General features: G+C 55.1%; 1 protein-coding gene across 4 annotated transcripts in view, besides 6 other annotated features; it reads right to left on the bottom strand.

The window, feature by feature from the left end:
- PTPRU (protein tyrosine phosphatase receptor type U) overlaps positions 1 to 13,444 on the bottom strand; it is a 90,279-nt gene that overhangs the window by 3,008 nt on the left and 73,827 nt on the right. For 2 of the 4 annotated variants that reach the window (NM_005704.5, NM_133178.4), the window contains 10 exons: positions 13,013 to 13,049; positions 12,240 to 12,337; positions 12,034 to 12,150; positions 11,087 to 11,241; positions 8,286 to 8,421; positions 7,642 to 7,791; positions 5,872 to 6,045; positions 2,968 to 3,108; positions 297 to 422; positions 5 to 162 (listed from right to left, as the gene is read on the bottom strand). In NM_005704.5, coding sequence (NP_005695.3) covers positions 5 to 162; positions 297 to 422; positions 2,968 to 3,108; positions 5,872 to 6,045; positions 7,642 to 7,791; positions 8,286 to 8,421; positions 11,087 to 11,241; positions 12,034 to 12,150; positions 12,240 to 12,337; positions 13,013 to 13,049 — 1,292 coding nt within the window. The remainder of the gene's footprint in view (positions 1 to 4; positions 163 to 296; positions 423 to 2,967; positions 3,109 to 5,871; positions 6,046 to 7,641; positions 7,792 to 8,285; positions 8,422 to 11,086; positions 11,242 to 12,033; positions 12,151 to 12,239; positions 12,338 to 13,012; positions 13,050 to 13,444) is intronic. The other 2 variants (NM_133177.4, NM_001195001.2) reach the window with 2 other exon arrangements.
- Positions 10,362 to 10,656: a silencer, noted in NCBI's record as "tiled region #13643; K562 Repressive DNase matched - State 20:ReprD". NCBI's record gives its function as "represses a minimal TATA promoter and a strong SV40 promoter by Sharpr-MPRA in K562 cells {active_cell/tissue: K562}" and the evidence as "EXISTENCE:reporter gene assay evidence [ECO:0000049][PMID:27701403]".
- Positions 10,362 to 10,964: a biological region, named in NCBI's record as "Sharpr-MPRA regulatory region 13643".
- Positions 10,389 to 10,964: an enhancer, noted in NCBI's record as "H3K4me1 hESC enhancer chr1:29639341-29639916 (GRCh37/hg19 assembly coordinates)". NCBI's record gives its function as "activates a minimal SCP1, AML or CMV promoter by ChIP-STARR-seq in primed H9 embryonic stem cells {active_cell/tissue: H9 hESC(primed)}" and the evidence as "EXISTENCE:reporter gene assay evidence [ECO:0000049][PMID:30033119]".
- Positions 10,965 to 11,542: an enhancer, noted in NCBI's record as "H3K4me1 hESC enhancer chr1:29638763-29639340 (GRCh37/hg19 assembly coordinates)". NCBI's record gives its function as "activates a minimal SCP1, AML or CMV promoter by ChIP-STARR-seq in primed H9 embryonic stem cells {active_cell/tissue: H9 hESC(primed)}" and the evidence as "EXISTENCE:reporter gene assay evidence [ECO:0000049][PMID:30033119]".
- Positions 12,098 to 12,598: an enhancer, noted in NCBI's record as "H3K27ac hESC enhancer chr1:29637707-29638207 (GRCh37/hg19 assembly coordinates)". NCBI's record gives its function as "activates a minimal SCP1, AML or CMV promoter by ChIP-STARR-seq in primed H9 embryonic stem cells {active_cell/tissue: H9 hESC(primed)}" and the evidence as "EXISTENCE:reporter gene assay evidence [ECO:0000049][PMID:30033119]".
- Positions 12,599 to 13,099: an enhancer, noted in NCBI's record as "H3K27ac hESC enhancer chr1:29637206-29637706 (GRCh37/hg19 assembly coordinates)". NCBI's record gives its function as "activates a minimal SCP1, AML or CMV promoter by ChIP-STARR-seq in primed H9 embryonic stem cells {active_cell/tissue: H9 hESC(primed)}" and the evidence as "EXISTENCE:reporter gene assay evidence [ECO:0000049][PMID:30033119]".

The raw sequence follows: 13,444 nt of genomic DNA, 5'->3' as shown, positions 1-13,444 counted from the left end.
TCACAGGCAGTGCACGATGGTGCGCCCATCCCCACTCTCGGCCTGCCACTTGTCCACCTCAGCCAGCAGGTGCAAGAAGGCCTTCTTGGAGTCAGGTGTGTCCCGGTATGCAGACCAGCGCAGGAACTGGAAGTGCCGCACCAGCAGGTGCCCCTCCTGCAACTGGGGACAGGGGCAGCCAGCCAGGGAGGACATGAGCACCAGGGTCCCAGGGGCCCCTGATGACACAGAGGGTCATTAAAAGCTGCCCCAGCCACCACCCAGGGTCCTTCCCTGGGGCTCCTCAGACCACTCACCCGAGAGATGTTCTGCACCCGGAAGACTCGAGCCACTAAGTCTTCATCAGCTGTGCCCGACATAAACTCCACCTCCATGAGGCCATATTGCTGCCGGCCTGGCTCTGGCCAGTACTGCAGGCAGGGCTGGGCATAAGCACGGAGAGGGGAGAGCTGAGTAGAGCCTGGCCGGGGCTCACCCCACAGCCATGCCCACCCCAAGGGCTCCACACTTGCCCTGTGGCTCCCACGAACCCTGGCCCACCCACTCACTCCAGACTCACCTTCAGCAGCTCCCCCAATCACCACCAGTTGCCCACAGGCTGCAAGGCCCACCTGCCCCAATGCGTTCTGCACTGACACGTTCAGATCAGCCAAGATGAACCCTTTGCAAACTGCACTGATGCCTACTGCTGTGCAGCTAGAAAGCTACACCTTAACCGGTTCACACGCTCCTACATGAGGCTGCCTGCTTCCAGGAATAGGCCTGGATCACTCCCACCCACCCCAGAACCTCCCCCCAGCCTTCTCTCTCACTGCCTCTGCCCTTCAGCACCAGCTCACAGAGGTGGGGTGTCCCTGATGCTGCAACACAGTTCAGTACCCCCACTTCTGCCCCAGGACCCCTCCATGGAGTCAGGGTCCTAAATACAACCCCCTCCCAGACTCCAGACTGTGGAGGGACAGAGGAGGTACAGCCCTATGACCTAACACACACAAACACACGTACAAATACACACACACATCCTCCAGGCTAAGTATCCTGAGCCTCAGTTTCTAGTCTCAGCTCTGCCTGAAGCCCAGGAAAGGCTCTTCCTTTCTCTTGGCCTCAGTTTCTCCGTCGGTAAAATGACTCCCATCCTCTCCCAAAAAGACACCGTGCTCATCAATCCCCTCTGACCACAGCCCAGGACAGGAGGACACCACCTTCCTCATTTTGCCTCAGGTCCTGGCAACCCTGTGCGTTCAGAACCCTGCACAGGCTGCTCCCTCTCCACGGGTCTCTCTTCCTCCACCTCCTCACCTAGTTAATTCTGCCCTTCCCACACATCTCAGCTCAGACACTACCTCCTCCAGGAAGCCATCGCCGATACATGATCCCCCGGACTTCTCTGTCCCTGTGCCAGCTCTTTCATAGCTCTTTTCCCTCTGTGCTGTCACTATCAGTTTTTCTACCTGTTTCCTCCTGGACCATGAGATCTGGGAGGGGCTGTGTCTCTTCTCCCTCTGTCTCCTCCCTGCCCACTGCAGGGAGCTGTTCATGGGCAAAGTTGGTTGAGCAGATGAGCAAATCAGTGCCCAGTGAACTACATCTCTGTGAGCCTCCCTCTGGGCCTCTCCCCTCTACCCTAGCAAGGATGGTTCCTGCTGCACCAGGGCTGAGGCCCATTATCCTGTAGTCCTGGGTCATTTTCACAAAGTGCCTGACTCATAAAGAGCCCAGTTAATGCAATCTTCTCAAGGAGGCCATTAAGAAGCTGTTGTACTCATTTTACAGCAAATCTTCCTAGCCCCCTGGGCCCAGCAGAAAGCTGGGGTGGGAAGGGGTCCAGAGACCTAAAGCACATGGTCAGGCAGGGCTGGAAGGCTGGGTATCTGTACTTCTTGGGAGCTCCAAAGGGAAACAGGGGAGTCAGAGGGGCTGCCCCCAGGCTGAGGTCACTGAACCAGTGTCTGGGCCAATCTCAGATACAACTGTCACCCTCATCATCTTTGTCCCTGCCACATACCACATGCCTACTGTGCAGCAGACACAGCAGTGCCACATATCCTATGCACACCTGACCTGGTCCTCACAATAACCCCACAAGAACAGGTCCTATGATGGCCCCCATTTTACAGAGAAGGAAAGTAAAACTCAAAAGAGGTCAATCAACTTACCCTAGATCAAACAGTCAGAAAGTAGGAGGCTTGAATTGTACTCTACCTCGGAGGCCCCCATGATGGGCGCTTTAGTGGAGTGACTAAAAGAGCAGAAGCTCTGGAATGAGGCAGCTGAGGCTGGGGAGCACAGCTCTGCCCCTCCCCAGCCATGTGGCCCTGGAGAAGGCACTGAACCTCTTTGGGTCTTAATTTTCTCACTGAAGCCTTCCCTCCAAGGTCATTATAGATTCTAAATAAGACCATGAGTGCAAAGCAGTCCCTGGCTTAGCAGGGGGCCAATAAAGAGCAACTGTGGCCAGAGGCAGTGGCTCATGCCTATAATCCCAGTTCTTTGGGAGACCAAGGTGGGAGGATCACTTGAGGCCAGGTGTTCGAGACCAGTCCAGGCAACACAGTGAGACCTTGTCTCTACTGAAAAAAAAAAAAAAAAAAAAAAATCAGACAGCTGTGGTGATGCAGCCTGTAGTCCCAGCTACTCGATAGGCTGAGGTGGAAGGATGGCTTGGGCCCAAGAGGTCGAGGCTGCACAACTTAGTGAGCTGTGATCGCGCCACTGCACTCCAGCCTGGGCAAAAGAGTGAGACCTTGTCTCAAAAAAAAGAAAAGAAAAAGAGCAACTAGTGATCTCCCATCTGACACCCTTGTTTTACAGATGAAGAAACTGAGGCTCTGGGAAGGTGTATGATTCATCACACAATAAATAGATGGCAGAGCTGGGACCCAACTTTTGGCTTTGGGGACCATGGCCCTGAATACACAGAGGACCTGGGAGCAGGCGGCCCATTGGCCTGGCCAGTGGAGGCCTCACCCAGGCGGAGTTGGACTGGTTCAGCTGGTTGAGCATGACGATGGAGGTGCACCCGTAATCGTAGACCAGCCGCCAGAAGTCGGGCGTGGTGCTCTGCAGCGGGTGCAGGGTCACGATGAAGGCCGCACTCCGTGTGTAGCTCTGCAGGGAAACCGGAACTCAGCAGGGCCCTGTTCCCGGCCCCTGGCCTGGGCTGAGCCTCTGCCCCAGGCTGTCTTCCCGCACTGCCCACCCTGAGTTGGACGGTTGTGCCCCACAGGACCAGGCTGCCTCCAGTGGGCCATTTCTGATGTTGGTTGGCACACTGAGGCCTGGGTTGACAGGGTGGGCCCAGGCCTCTGGGGACCAAGCCCATGACCCCCCAGAACTAAACAGCAAAAGTTTCCAAAGGTATGGCGAGGGGAGCTTGGGCATGAGGCTGAGCTCAAGGCAGAGGCTGGCCGAGCTTACTCCCTGCCTCCGCGCTTCGGCATCTGCTATTTTGGCTGCCTAGGCCAAATTTCCCAAATGTCTATATGGCTGTCTCCCTCACTTCCTTCTGGTCTTTACTTATCACCTCCTCAAAGAAGCCCTCCCCCACCACCTCATCAAAAATAGCCCCACACACACCCCAAATCCACATTAAACACTGCCTGGCTGTTTTTGTAGAAATTTCCAGTTGATGACATTTCATTGTATATTTCCTGACTATCCCACTCCACCTGCTAAAAGCAAGGTTCAGGAGAGCAGAGCTTCTAGGGTATGGTCTCCACCCAGAACCCTGTAGGGGCTCAATAAATATTTTGAATAAATCTCTAGGTCCCTTCCAACTCCATAAGTGAAGGGTCTGGGGCCCCAGGCTCTCCAGGCAGTGACAGGCCCCGACGCTGCTCACTGCTCCCTCGTCCTGCCAGGGGGGCTGGCACCCGGCCTTCTCCCATTAAAGATCTAGCTCCCAGCCTCCCCTGGTGACCTGCCCTGCCCCACCCTGTGCCATGTCCCCCCTCCCTTCCCCGAGCTCTTCTCCTGTCCCCCAGTCTTCCTCCTGACCTAGGGGCTGGCACAAGCTCCCATGACCCTGGTCTTTGTCTGGCTTCTTCTGGCCTTGACCCTGACTTGGGCCCTAACCAAATATTGATCTGCCCTTTGTAATCCTGCAAGGTGCAGTGCAGAGAAACAAAGAGCCCCCCTGGTCCCCCAGCGATCTCTCTCCAGGACTCTCTGAAGGCTCCTGATTAACAACTCCTCAAGGCCAGGCCCAGCCAGATTCCAAAACTCAGGCCTGGGTGCCCAACAGGGCTCCTTGCAGACTTGACCACCACAAAGACTCCAGCTGGCCCCTCACTGACGAGTTCAGGGCCTGTCTGAGAAATGGGGCCTCCTGGCTCCAAGCCAATAGGACCTGCATGGCTGGGGTCAGACGTCAGAGGCATCAAGGACCTCAGGAGGGGACAGGGCTGTCTCAGAACTTTTCCACGTGATAACCCACCCATCAGGGCCAGGGAGCCCCAGCTCAGGACCCTCAGACAGTCTCCTTTCCAGGCCCCCAATGTGCAGATGGGCACACCAAGGCCAAGGAGGGGGCTGGGCGGGAGGGCACAGCTTCCTAAGTTTAGTTCAAAGATCTTCCCGGTACTACATGCCACCCCTCCAGGACCCCTGACCCCTCAGCAGGCCAGATGTCCCCCGGCGAGCATGTGGGCACACACATTCCATCCACCAAGCTGAGTGACAGTGACTGATGGGCCCCTCACATCTCTCATCAGTGGCTAGGGCAGCTCTTCCCCTCCCCTTCAGCTGACACCCGGAAGCCCCCTGGGTGGTTACCCTCTTTAAAGAAACCCCGCTGTCCCCCGCACTGTCCTGCCAAGGAGTTCCTGGCCAGGCATCAGGCCGCAAAAAGCCCATCTCCCTCTTAACCGCTGTGGGAGAACCTTCCCCATCGGCATCCCTCATTTCCGCGTGGAGAGACGCAGCAGTGACACACCTGGCCCTGGCCCATCCTTCACTCACTCCTCCCATGAGCGAGGCTGCTTGGCTCCACTCCTTCCTCTTTTTCCAGGCCAGCCTACCCTTGGAAAGTGTGCACTCAATTGCTCCTGCTCCCTGCCAGTAAAGGCCAGTCCCTGACGGGGAGGGGTGGCCTGCGGTTGCACGGCTATATCGGGGAGGGGTGAAGGAGCGGCCCACCAACTGGCCACACATCTCAAACTCCATCTCCAGTTTTATCTATAACATATGATCTCCACCCGTGTGTCTCCTGTGTCTATATCTGAACTGGTTCCAGTGTGGCAGAGGAATAGGGATAATAATCCTAGACCCTTCCCGCCTCAGACAGCAGCATCTTGGAGCCATTTAGCAGGGGACTAAAATGCCAGCACCCATCTCCTGAGCTGCTTGCAACCCTCAGTAAAGGAGGCAGAGCCCCTGAGCTTGAAGCAGGGAAAGAGACTTCTAAAAGGCTCCTGAGCCCTCAGAGGGCCCATGCCCACCCAGGGAAGAATGGGGCCAGAGATCACTGTCCCAGGCCTGGTCCTGGAGCAGACTCCAGCTCATTCTCCCCAGGACAAGCTCCCCTGCTTCCAGACATCAGGTCTCGAGTTCCATCCCCAAACCCTCGAGGTCTCCCCAGCCAAAGTCCCCTGAATCACTCATCCTACCCCAGGCTCTGCTGGGCCTAATCTTGGAGACAGCCCTGCCTGAACTCCACAACCAGACCCCACTGAGGCAGAGTGTGGGGGGCACTGGCTTGAATGCCCTGAATGGAAGCTCCCTAGGAGTAGGAGGGTCACACACAGGCCTGTTCCCCAGAATGGGCAGGGGTCCCCCCAACAGAGCCTTCAGCTTTGTTCCCGTGGCCCCTGGACCTTCCCTGATGCTGCTGGGAAGGGGAGCCCCAGAGCCCACTCCACCCCAAGCTCTCACGTCAGTCAGGGCTGCATTAATGTAGTTGTTGGAGTCCCCATCAGTGGAGATGAGGAAGGGCAGGCAGCGGTCGGGCGGCAGGACGTCCATGCTGCGGTTCTTGTCGCGGTTCCGGGGCAACAGGGCGATGCTGCACTCCTCCACGTCCAGCGGCGGGGTGACCGAGTTCAGCGTCTACAGGGAGCGGGGGTGGGGACAGAGAGTTACGTCCAGGGCTTGCTGGGCCTCCTCACATCCCCATGAAGGAGGCTGGACTGAGTTACTAATCCCATTTTATGGATGGAGAAACTGAGGTCCAGAGAGAAGGGTACAGGGCACGGAGCCAGACTCCCTGTCTCTAGGCCATTATAGGGCCTGGATAGAGCTCTAGAGACCAGAGTCTACCTCCTTGCCACCCACATAACCTCAGACAAGCTACTGCATCTCTCAGCCTCAGTTTCCTCGACTGTGAAATAGGGAAGTAATATGCCTACTTCATGGGGCTGCTGGGAGGCCAAAGTGAGATCATGACAAGCACTGGGCTGAGCTCGGCACACACGGGCACAGTGAGGAACTTTACTAGCTGACCAGTGCCTTCACTGAGGCAACCCCTGAAACCCCACACCCTCCAAGAAGCGGACTCCAGGCACGTGGAGAGGGGGTCACGTTCCTTGGTCACGGCCCTGTCTGAACAGAATGAAGTCCTAAGCACCGGGCACTGAATCACACCTGGATCTCCGGGGCATCTCCTCCGCCCGCATGCCTTCACACCTCACGCATCCAGACCCAGGGGCTCTCAGTTTCTTTCTCTTGTTCTTGGAGATCCCTCACAGGGAACCACAGTCTATCATGATCCCCAAAGCCTGACACCCTCCTCCGGGAACCCTGCACCTCCTGTGAGAAGTGCCAGGTCCCCAGCACGTGCCATCCTGCTGAGCCACTGCAGGAACCCTGGAGTGGAGGGGACTTCTGAGGTCTCTGCCACCCAGTGATCGCTCTCAGGCTTCTCTGGAGAACCAGCCTTTTCCCATCTCAGCCATGTGATATGGTGAGGCTGGTCCTGCCCCAAGAGCCAGGCCTTGGGCATGTGACCAGAGCCAGGGGCAATCAGTGAGCTCCACCTCTCCAACCTGTGACTGGTCCAGGGATGGGAACATGAAAGTCTGATCTAGGACTGTTGGGGGGATGCTGGGAGCAGCAAGCGCCTTTTTCCTAAGTCACCAGACAATAGAGATGATGGGAGCCCAGCACTGCTGGCGGCCAGGTGCAGGTCTGAGAATGAAGCCAAAAATAGGAGAGCAGAACCAAGGCAGACAGAAACCACCTGTTGGCATCATCATCTGAGCCCCTGGATCCAGCTACAACTGAAGCTGCACGATCCTCAGACTTTTCAGTTATAAAAGCTGGATTTTCATCACTCACAACCAAAAGAATCCCAATGAATACAAACACCCCAAGGGACATATTAACTACTTCTCTTCTCTGGGTAACAAAACTGAGGCTCAGAGAGGTAAAGGGAACTGTTCAAGGATACTCACAGCTCTTAACTAGGTAAGCCAGGATTTGAACCTGGGTTTATCTGACTTCAAAGCCTGGGCTCTTAACTGCTTTGATGCACCCCATCTTCCGCTGTCCCAAAGTCCTTCCTGGTAGCTCAGCTCTGTCCCTCCAGCTGTGGCCTCAGGCTGGTCCCTGCTTCTTGGCCCTCAATGACTCCTGCAGTATTAAGGATGCCCCAACACACACACAGACACACACACACACACCTATACACACGCACTCATCCCCCACCTGGAACTCTTCCCGCAGCTGGGAGGAATTACTCTGAGGATCAATGCGGATCATCTCCTTGTAGGTGGCCTTGAACTCACTGACAGGGATGGTGGTCTCCCCACACAGGCAGGCCTCCAGGATTGCATCATGAATGAAGATGTACTGCTCCTGGAACAGGAGATGAGAATGAGGCCGAGGAGGGGCCTAGAAGCTGGAGATCTGTGGTGATGGGGCTTAAGCAAGCTCAAGGTTGAAGCAGGGTGTCCTGAGGTGGAGGCCAACCATGTTACTACAGGCTGGACCAAGCCTACCTGAAACAACCTCCATGGACATGCCCCTTTATCTCCTATTTCATCCCTACCCCCTATAACAACTCTGTGAGTGCTCTGAGAGGTGGGGGACAGCTCACGGTCACACATCCACTGAGGATGCAATCCCAGGTATGTCAGCTACAGGACCGGTTGTCTGACCCCACCCAACAGAACACAGGGGAGCAGTTCAGGATGACCCTATGCAGTTGGCGGCCCAAGGTCAGGGATGATCTGAGGGAAGGCAAGAGCCTCAGGACACCCTTTGGGCATGCTCTGCCGGCTCCAGGATCCTTCACGAGAAACTCCAGTCCTAGAAGTAATAATGGTGGGGACAGGGCCAGGTCCCCGCACCTCAGTCTGGATCATGTTGACACGCCGGGAGCAGAGAGTCTTCACACAGTTGTAAATGTCCACGACGCCCTCACACTCTGCCATGTCCAGCATCACATCCAGGACGATATAGCAACCTGTGCGGCCGGTGCCCGCGCTGGAGAGAGAGCAGCCCCAGACCAGGTCAGAGCTTTGGGGAGGAAGCCCGGGACTAAGGAGAAGAAGAGAGGAGGGCACTGGCCATGTCTACACCATACAGGGGACACGGACACAGAGATGACTGCCCCTCCCCGAGTAAGGAGCCAGGACGCAGGCTGCTGGATGGAAGAGCTCTAGTGAAATGTGCTAGAGGACAGAGATGGGATGGGCCTCAGGGAAGGAGAGGAGAGAGGGTGGGGAGAATGCAAAGGTGACACTGGCTCAACCTAGCAACTTAAGATTAGGAGAGAACAGGAATGATGATCCTCCGAGCTAATTCAAGAATGTTCTTTCCTCCTGAAAACCACCAAATCTCCTACACATCCTTGAAAAGCCCACACACTCATACCCATTCACATACCCACTGGAGCATCCCTGACCCTTCCAGGATGATGTCATTCTTTTGAGTTCCCAAAGCAACGTGGGCAGGTTTTTATTAAAACACTCTTCGTGGCCAGGCACGGTGGCTCAGGCCTGTAATCCCAGCACTCTGGGAGGCCGAAGTGGGTGGATCACTTGAGGTCAGGAGTTCGAGACCAGCCTGGCCAACATAGTGAAACCCTGTCTCTACCAAAAAATACAAAAAATAGCCGGGTGTGGTGGCACGTGCCTGTAATTCCAGCTACTCAGGAGGCTGAGGCAGAAGAATCGCTTGAACCCGGGAGATGGAGGTTGCAGTGAACCAAGACCACACCACTGCACTCCAGCCTGGATGACAGAACAAGATCCTGTCTCAAAAAAAAAAAATTAATTAATTCAATAAAACACTCTTCCTGCTACATGGTCATTGTTTATGTGGCTGTCTCCCTAACTTGACTGGGGGCACATCAAGATCATTGTCCTCACGCAAGGTTGTGCAGAGCTGAGGGGGAAGGAGAGTGGACAAAGATGACAGCAAGATTTCAGGTTTGAAAACAGTGGCATCCACGTGCTAGCGAGGACATACAGCAACTGAATACCCCAAATACCCCTGGTGGGGCTTAACTTAGCACAACCCCCTTGTAAAACTGCTCAGCAATATCTCCTAAAGCTGAACGTTCACACAGATAACAGTTCTACTCCTACGTACATACCACACAGAAAGAAATACATTTCTTGGCCAAAAGACATACGATCGAATGTCCTTAGCAGCACTACTCATAATAGCTTAAGACTGGAAACAACCCAAATGCCTATCATGGCAGAATGGACAAACACACTGTCATTTATTCACTTGATGGACGATGATCCACTGTGGACGAGCCTCACAAACCTAAGGCTCAGGGAAAGAAGACAAACAGCAAAGAGCACATGCTGTATGATTCCATTTATGACAAGTCCAAAAACATGTGCAACTAACTGCGCTTTAGAAGTCAGAATAGTGATTTCTCTGGGACTGGGGATGGGGGAATTCAGGCCAGAAACGGGTTCAAGGGGGCTTCTGGGAACTGTTCATGTTCTGCTCCTTTCTTAACTTTAAAAAAAAATTTTTTTTTAGAGGCAGAGTCTCGCTCTGTTGCCCAGGCTGGAGTACAGTGGTGCAATTACAGTTTACTGTAACCTGGAACTCCCATACTCAAACAAACTTCCCACCTCAGCCTCACAGGTAGCTGGGACTACAGGCTTGTGCCACCACAACCCACTAATTTTTTTATTTTTGTAGCAATGAGGTCTCACTATGTTGCCCAGGCTGGTCTCGAACTTTGGGCCTCAAATGATCCTCCCACCTTGGCTTCCCAAAGTGCTGAGATTACAGGCATGAGCCCCTGTGCCCAGCCAATGTTCTGTTTCTTAATCTCAGTAGAGCTGGTTTTTTCACAAGTGTGCTCAGTTTATGAAAATTCATATTTTTAAACATATTTCTGCACTTTGCTTTAAGTGTATTATATATCAATAAAGTTTTGTTTTTAAAAGATGGCATCTTAAAGAGGCCTAAAGAAATCAAAGAGAAGCTGGTTTAGGTGGCAGGGCAGGGAGGACGACTCTACCATGCGGCATTTGGGGAGCTGATAAGAACACAGTAGAGGAACCGCAATGAGACACAGAGGCCATGGACAAAGCCACAAAGGTTGGGGGTTACGCTCTCCAGGGGGAGACAGAGGGCAGGCCAGGACAGCGTACTGGGTCCCCATTTAAGAAGCAAGAGAAAGATGTGGAGCCAGGGAGAAAGCAGAGAGAGGAGGGGCAGCTGGGGTCACGGGAGCCAGTCAGGGTCTGCAGAAGGTGTGAAGGCCAAGGGGTAGGCAAGGCCCACTGGGTTTGGTGGAGAGAAGTGAAGTCCTTCCCACCCCCAGGCCAGGCCTAGCACGCGGCAGGTGTGCAACAAAAAGCTGCTTACTGAAAGCAGGCAGAACTCAATCGTGCCTGGCGCCTCAGCGGCCCGGAGGCCCCTCCCTATCTCCAGTGCCTCCTCAGCACCTGGGTCAAGGGGCTTCACAGGTCTTGGGGGGCACATGAAGATGCCAACCTCAGAGCCAAAGGCCAAAGGGGACAGGGCCTTTGGGGGTCGTTCCCTCCTGCACTCCATCTCTAAGCAGGAGAACCCAGGCCTGGTCCCCACTACAGATCCTGAACCAACCTGACCCCAAGCCCAAATTCCCAGGGAGAAGGGCCCCTTTTCTCCTTGGGATTCCCGGTGCCCCCACCTGCAGTGGATGACAATGGGCCCGGCATCAGGTGGGGTGGAGGCCTTCACGCGCCGGATGAAAGCCAGCAGCCCCGTGGCATGGTAGGGGACGCCATGCTCTGGCCACGCTGTGAAGTGGAACTGGCGGACCTCGTGCCGGGCAGAGTAGCCTCTCTGGGGAGACAATGGGAATAATAATCAGAGTCCCTGGCAGCATCTGTCACCATTAGACACCTGCTGTGTGCCAGGCACTGCAGTAAGCATCTCATTGTATAATCTCAACTAATCCCAATGATCAATTTACTGATGAAGTAGGTATTAATGTCCCATTGTACAAACAAGAAAACTAAGGCTCAAAGAGGAGAAACCACTTTCCCAAGGTTAGAGAAACCAACAACATGCAGGATTTGGACAATGGTCTGCCTGATGCCTAAACCTGGGCTGTGAAATACTCACCTCTGCCACCAGGTTGTTGTGTAAACATATATCATTTTGACTCCCAGGGTCTTAATTTAAAGGAAAAAAAACTATCTTTCCTCTGAGGACTTTACAGAGCAGATCAAATGGGATCGTGGACAGGACTCGCTGGCCAGCCACTGACTATGTGGCCTCTCCTGCCTGGCATAAGCCCTCTGAGCCTCACTTTCTGTATCTGGGCTAATCACACGGAGCTTTCCAGGACTGAAACAATATTTATAACAGGCTCAGCACAGAGTAGGAGCCAGCACCTGGCAGATACTGTCACCCCCTTCATTGTCTCAGCTTCCTCCTATGGGCACCAACAAAGGCAGTGACCTTCCTGCCCTTCTAGAGTGCTCCCAGCCAACAGTGACCAAGTAGCTTCCTTGCTGGGATGGGCAGTGGTGCGCTCCTCACCCTCCTGCTCCCAGGGCTGGGGGAAGTGGGAGTGGGCTCTAATCCCTGCTCAGGCACCCTCTGCAGGGAACAGGCGGTGGGGAGACTCACCCGCTCCAGGGCAAAAGTGCGCACGACATACTCAGCCAGGGTCTCTGTCTTCACCAGCATAATCTTGATGTCCCCGTAGGTGTCTGAGTCCTCCGGCCAGTACCGTGAGCATTTCACCTAGAGGCCCCACAGGACGGGACTCAGTGGGCTCTTTGCTGCCCCCTTGGCCTGCCATGCGCCCCAGCTCGCCCCACAGCCCGGCTTACCCTGCCCACCTCGACCAGCTTGGTGATCATGACGATGCTGGAACAGTGCTCCTGCCACACCATACGCCAGAAGTCATAGACCATCTCAGGCTTCGGCCCTGGGGATGCAGGCAGAGGGTGCCTGTCCCTGAGACAAGGTCTCCACCCCAGGTCAGCACATCCAGCACCATCCAGCACCACACCCCAGGCCAGGAGGCCTCCTGAGCCCCAACGGGGGCTTCATGCTGCCCACAACACCCAGCTTGCAGCTGACGCATGCCTGTAGGGCCCTGAGGTTGGGTAGCATCAGGAGAGGGCCTGGCTAAAGAGCCCGCTCATCCTGAATGGGACCCTGGAGGAGGACCAGATGGTTGGGCAATGGCATGAGTGTCCAGGAGGGACAGACAGATGGACAGTCGTGGAAAGGGATGCAAACAGAAGAATCCAGGCAGCCACCAGACCGAGAGGCCCAACCCACACCCATGAGGCCTGAGCCCAGCTGGCCCTTTTACAGACACCACTTTGGAGACAGGCAGGTAGACCAGGAGCAACAGATGGACTGAGCACATCAGGGAGACACAAACACAAAGAGGGGACAAAGGCAGTTGGCCAGATTCCAAGAGATCCAGCAGAATCGGGAGCAGATGAACAAGCAGGGAGCCAGAATATGGCGACGGTGGGGAGACATTCAGGAATCAAGCGGATCAGCAGGGGAGGCAGAAAGGCAAGCTGAGGGCATTCCAGCACGCTGGGAGGCACATGGGAAGGCGCATGTGGGCAGAAGTGCCAGGTACCTTGAGTGGCTATGAAGTGGTTTGACCTGTGGTAACCCTGGAACAGGAGGAGAGGGCACGGTTAGACCCCAGGGAGTAGCCCCTCACTCCCCCACACCTCCTCTACCCTCCCCTCCCAGCAGCAGAACCCCTACCCCACCAGGGAACTGCTCCCTCACATCCCTAGGACCTCCTAAGCAGGATGACTTTGCATCCCCCCAGGTCCCCAAGGAAGTGGAGAAGTACAGCTGGGACACCAGAGTCGTGGGCTTAATCCAACCTGGGCTGTGCAACCCCAGGGAGGACATGACTCCTTTATGTGCCTAGAGGGACCCCCCACCCATAAAGTGGAGAGAGGCATCTGCTTTCAGCCAGGCTGTTGTTCGGAGACAGAGTCCCCAATGGCCCTGCCCTGTTCCCAGGGTTCCAGAAGCTCTAATCAACCCAGATCCC

Source organism: Homo sapiens, chromosome 1 (assembly GCF_000001405.40).
Source record: "Homo sapiens chromosome 1, GRCh38.p14 Primary Assembly".
In the NCBI taxonomy this organism is placed as follows: domain Eukaryota; kingdom Metazoa; phylum Chordata; class Mammalia; order Primates; family Hominidae; genus Homo; species Homo sapiens.
The sequence above is the reverse complement of the archived record's forward strand: the minus strand, read 5'-3'. Positions and strand labels throughout refer to the sequence as shown.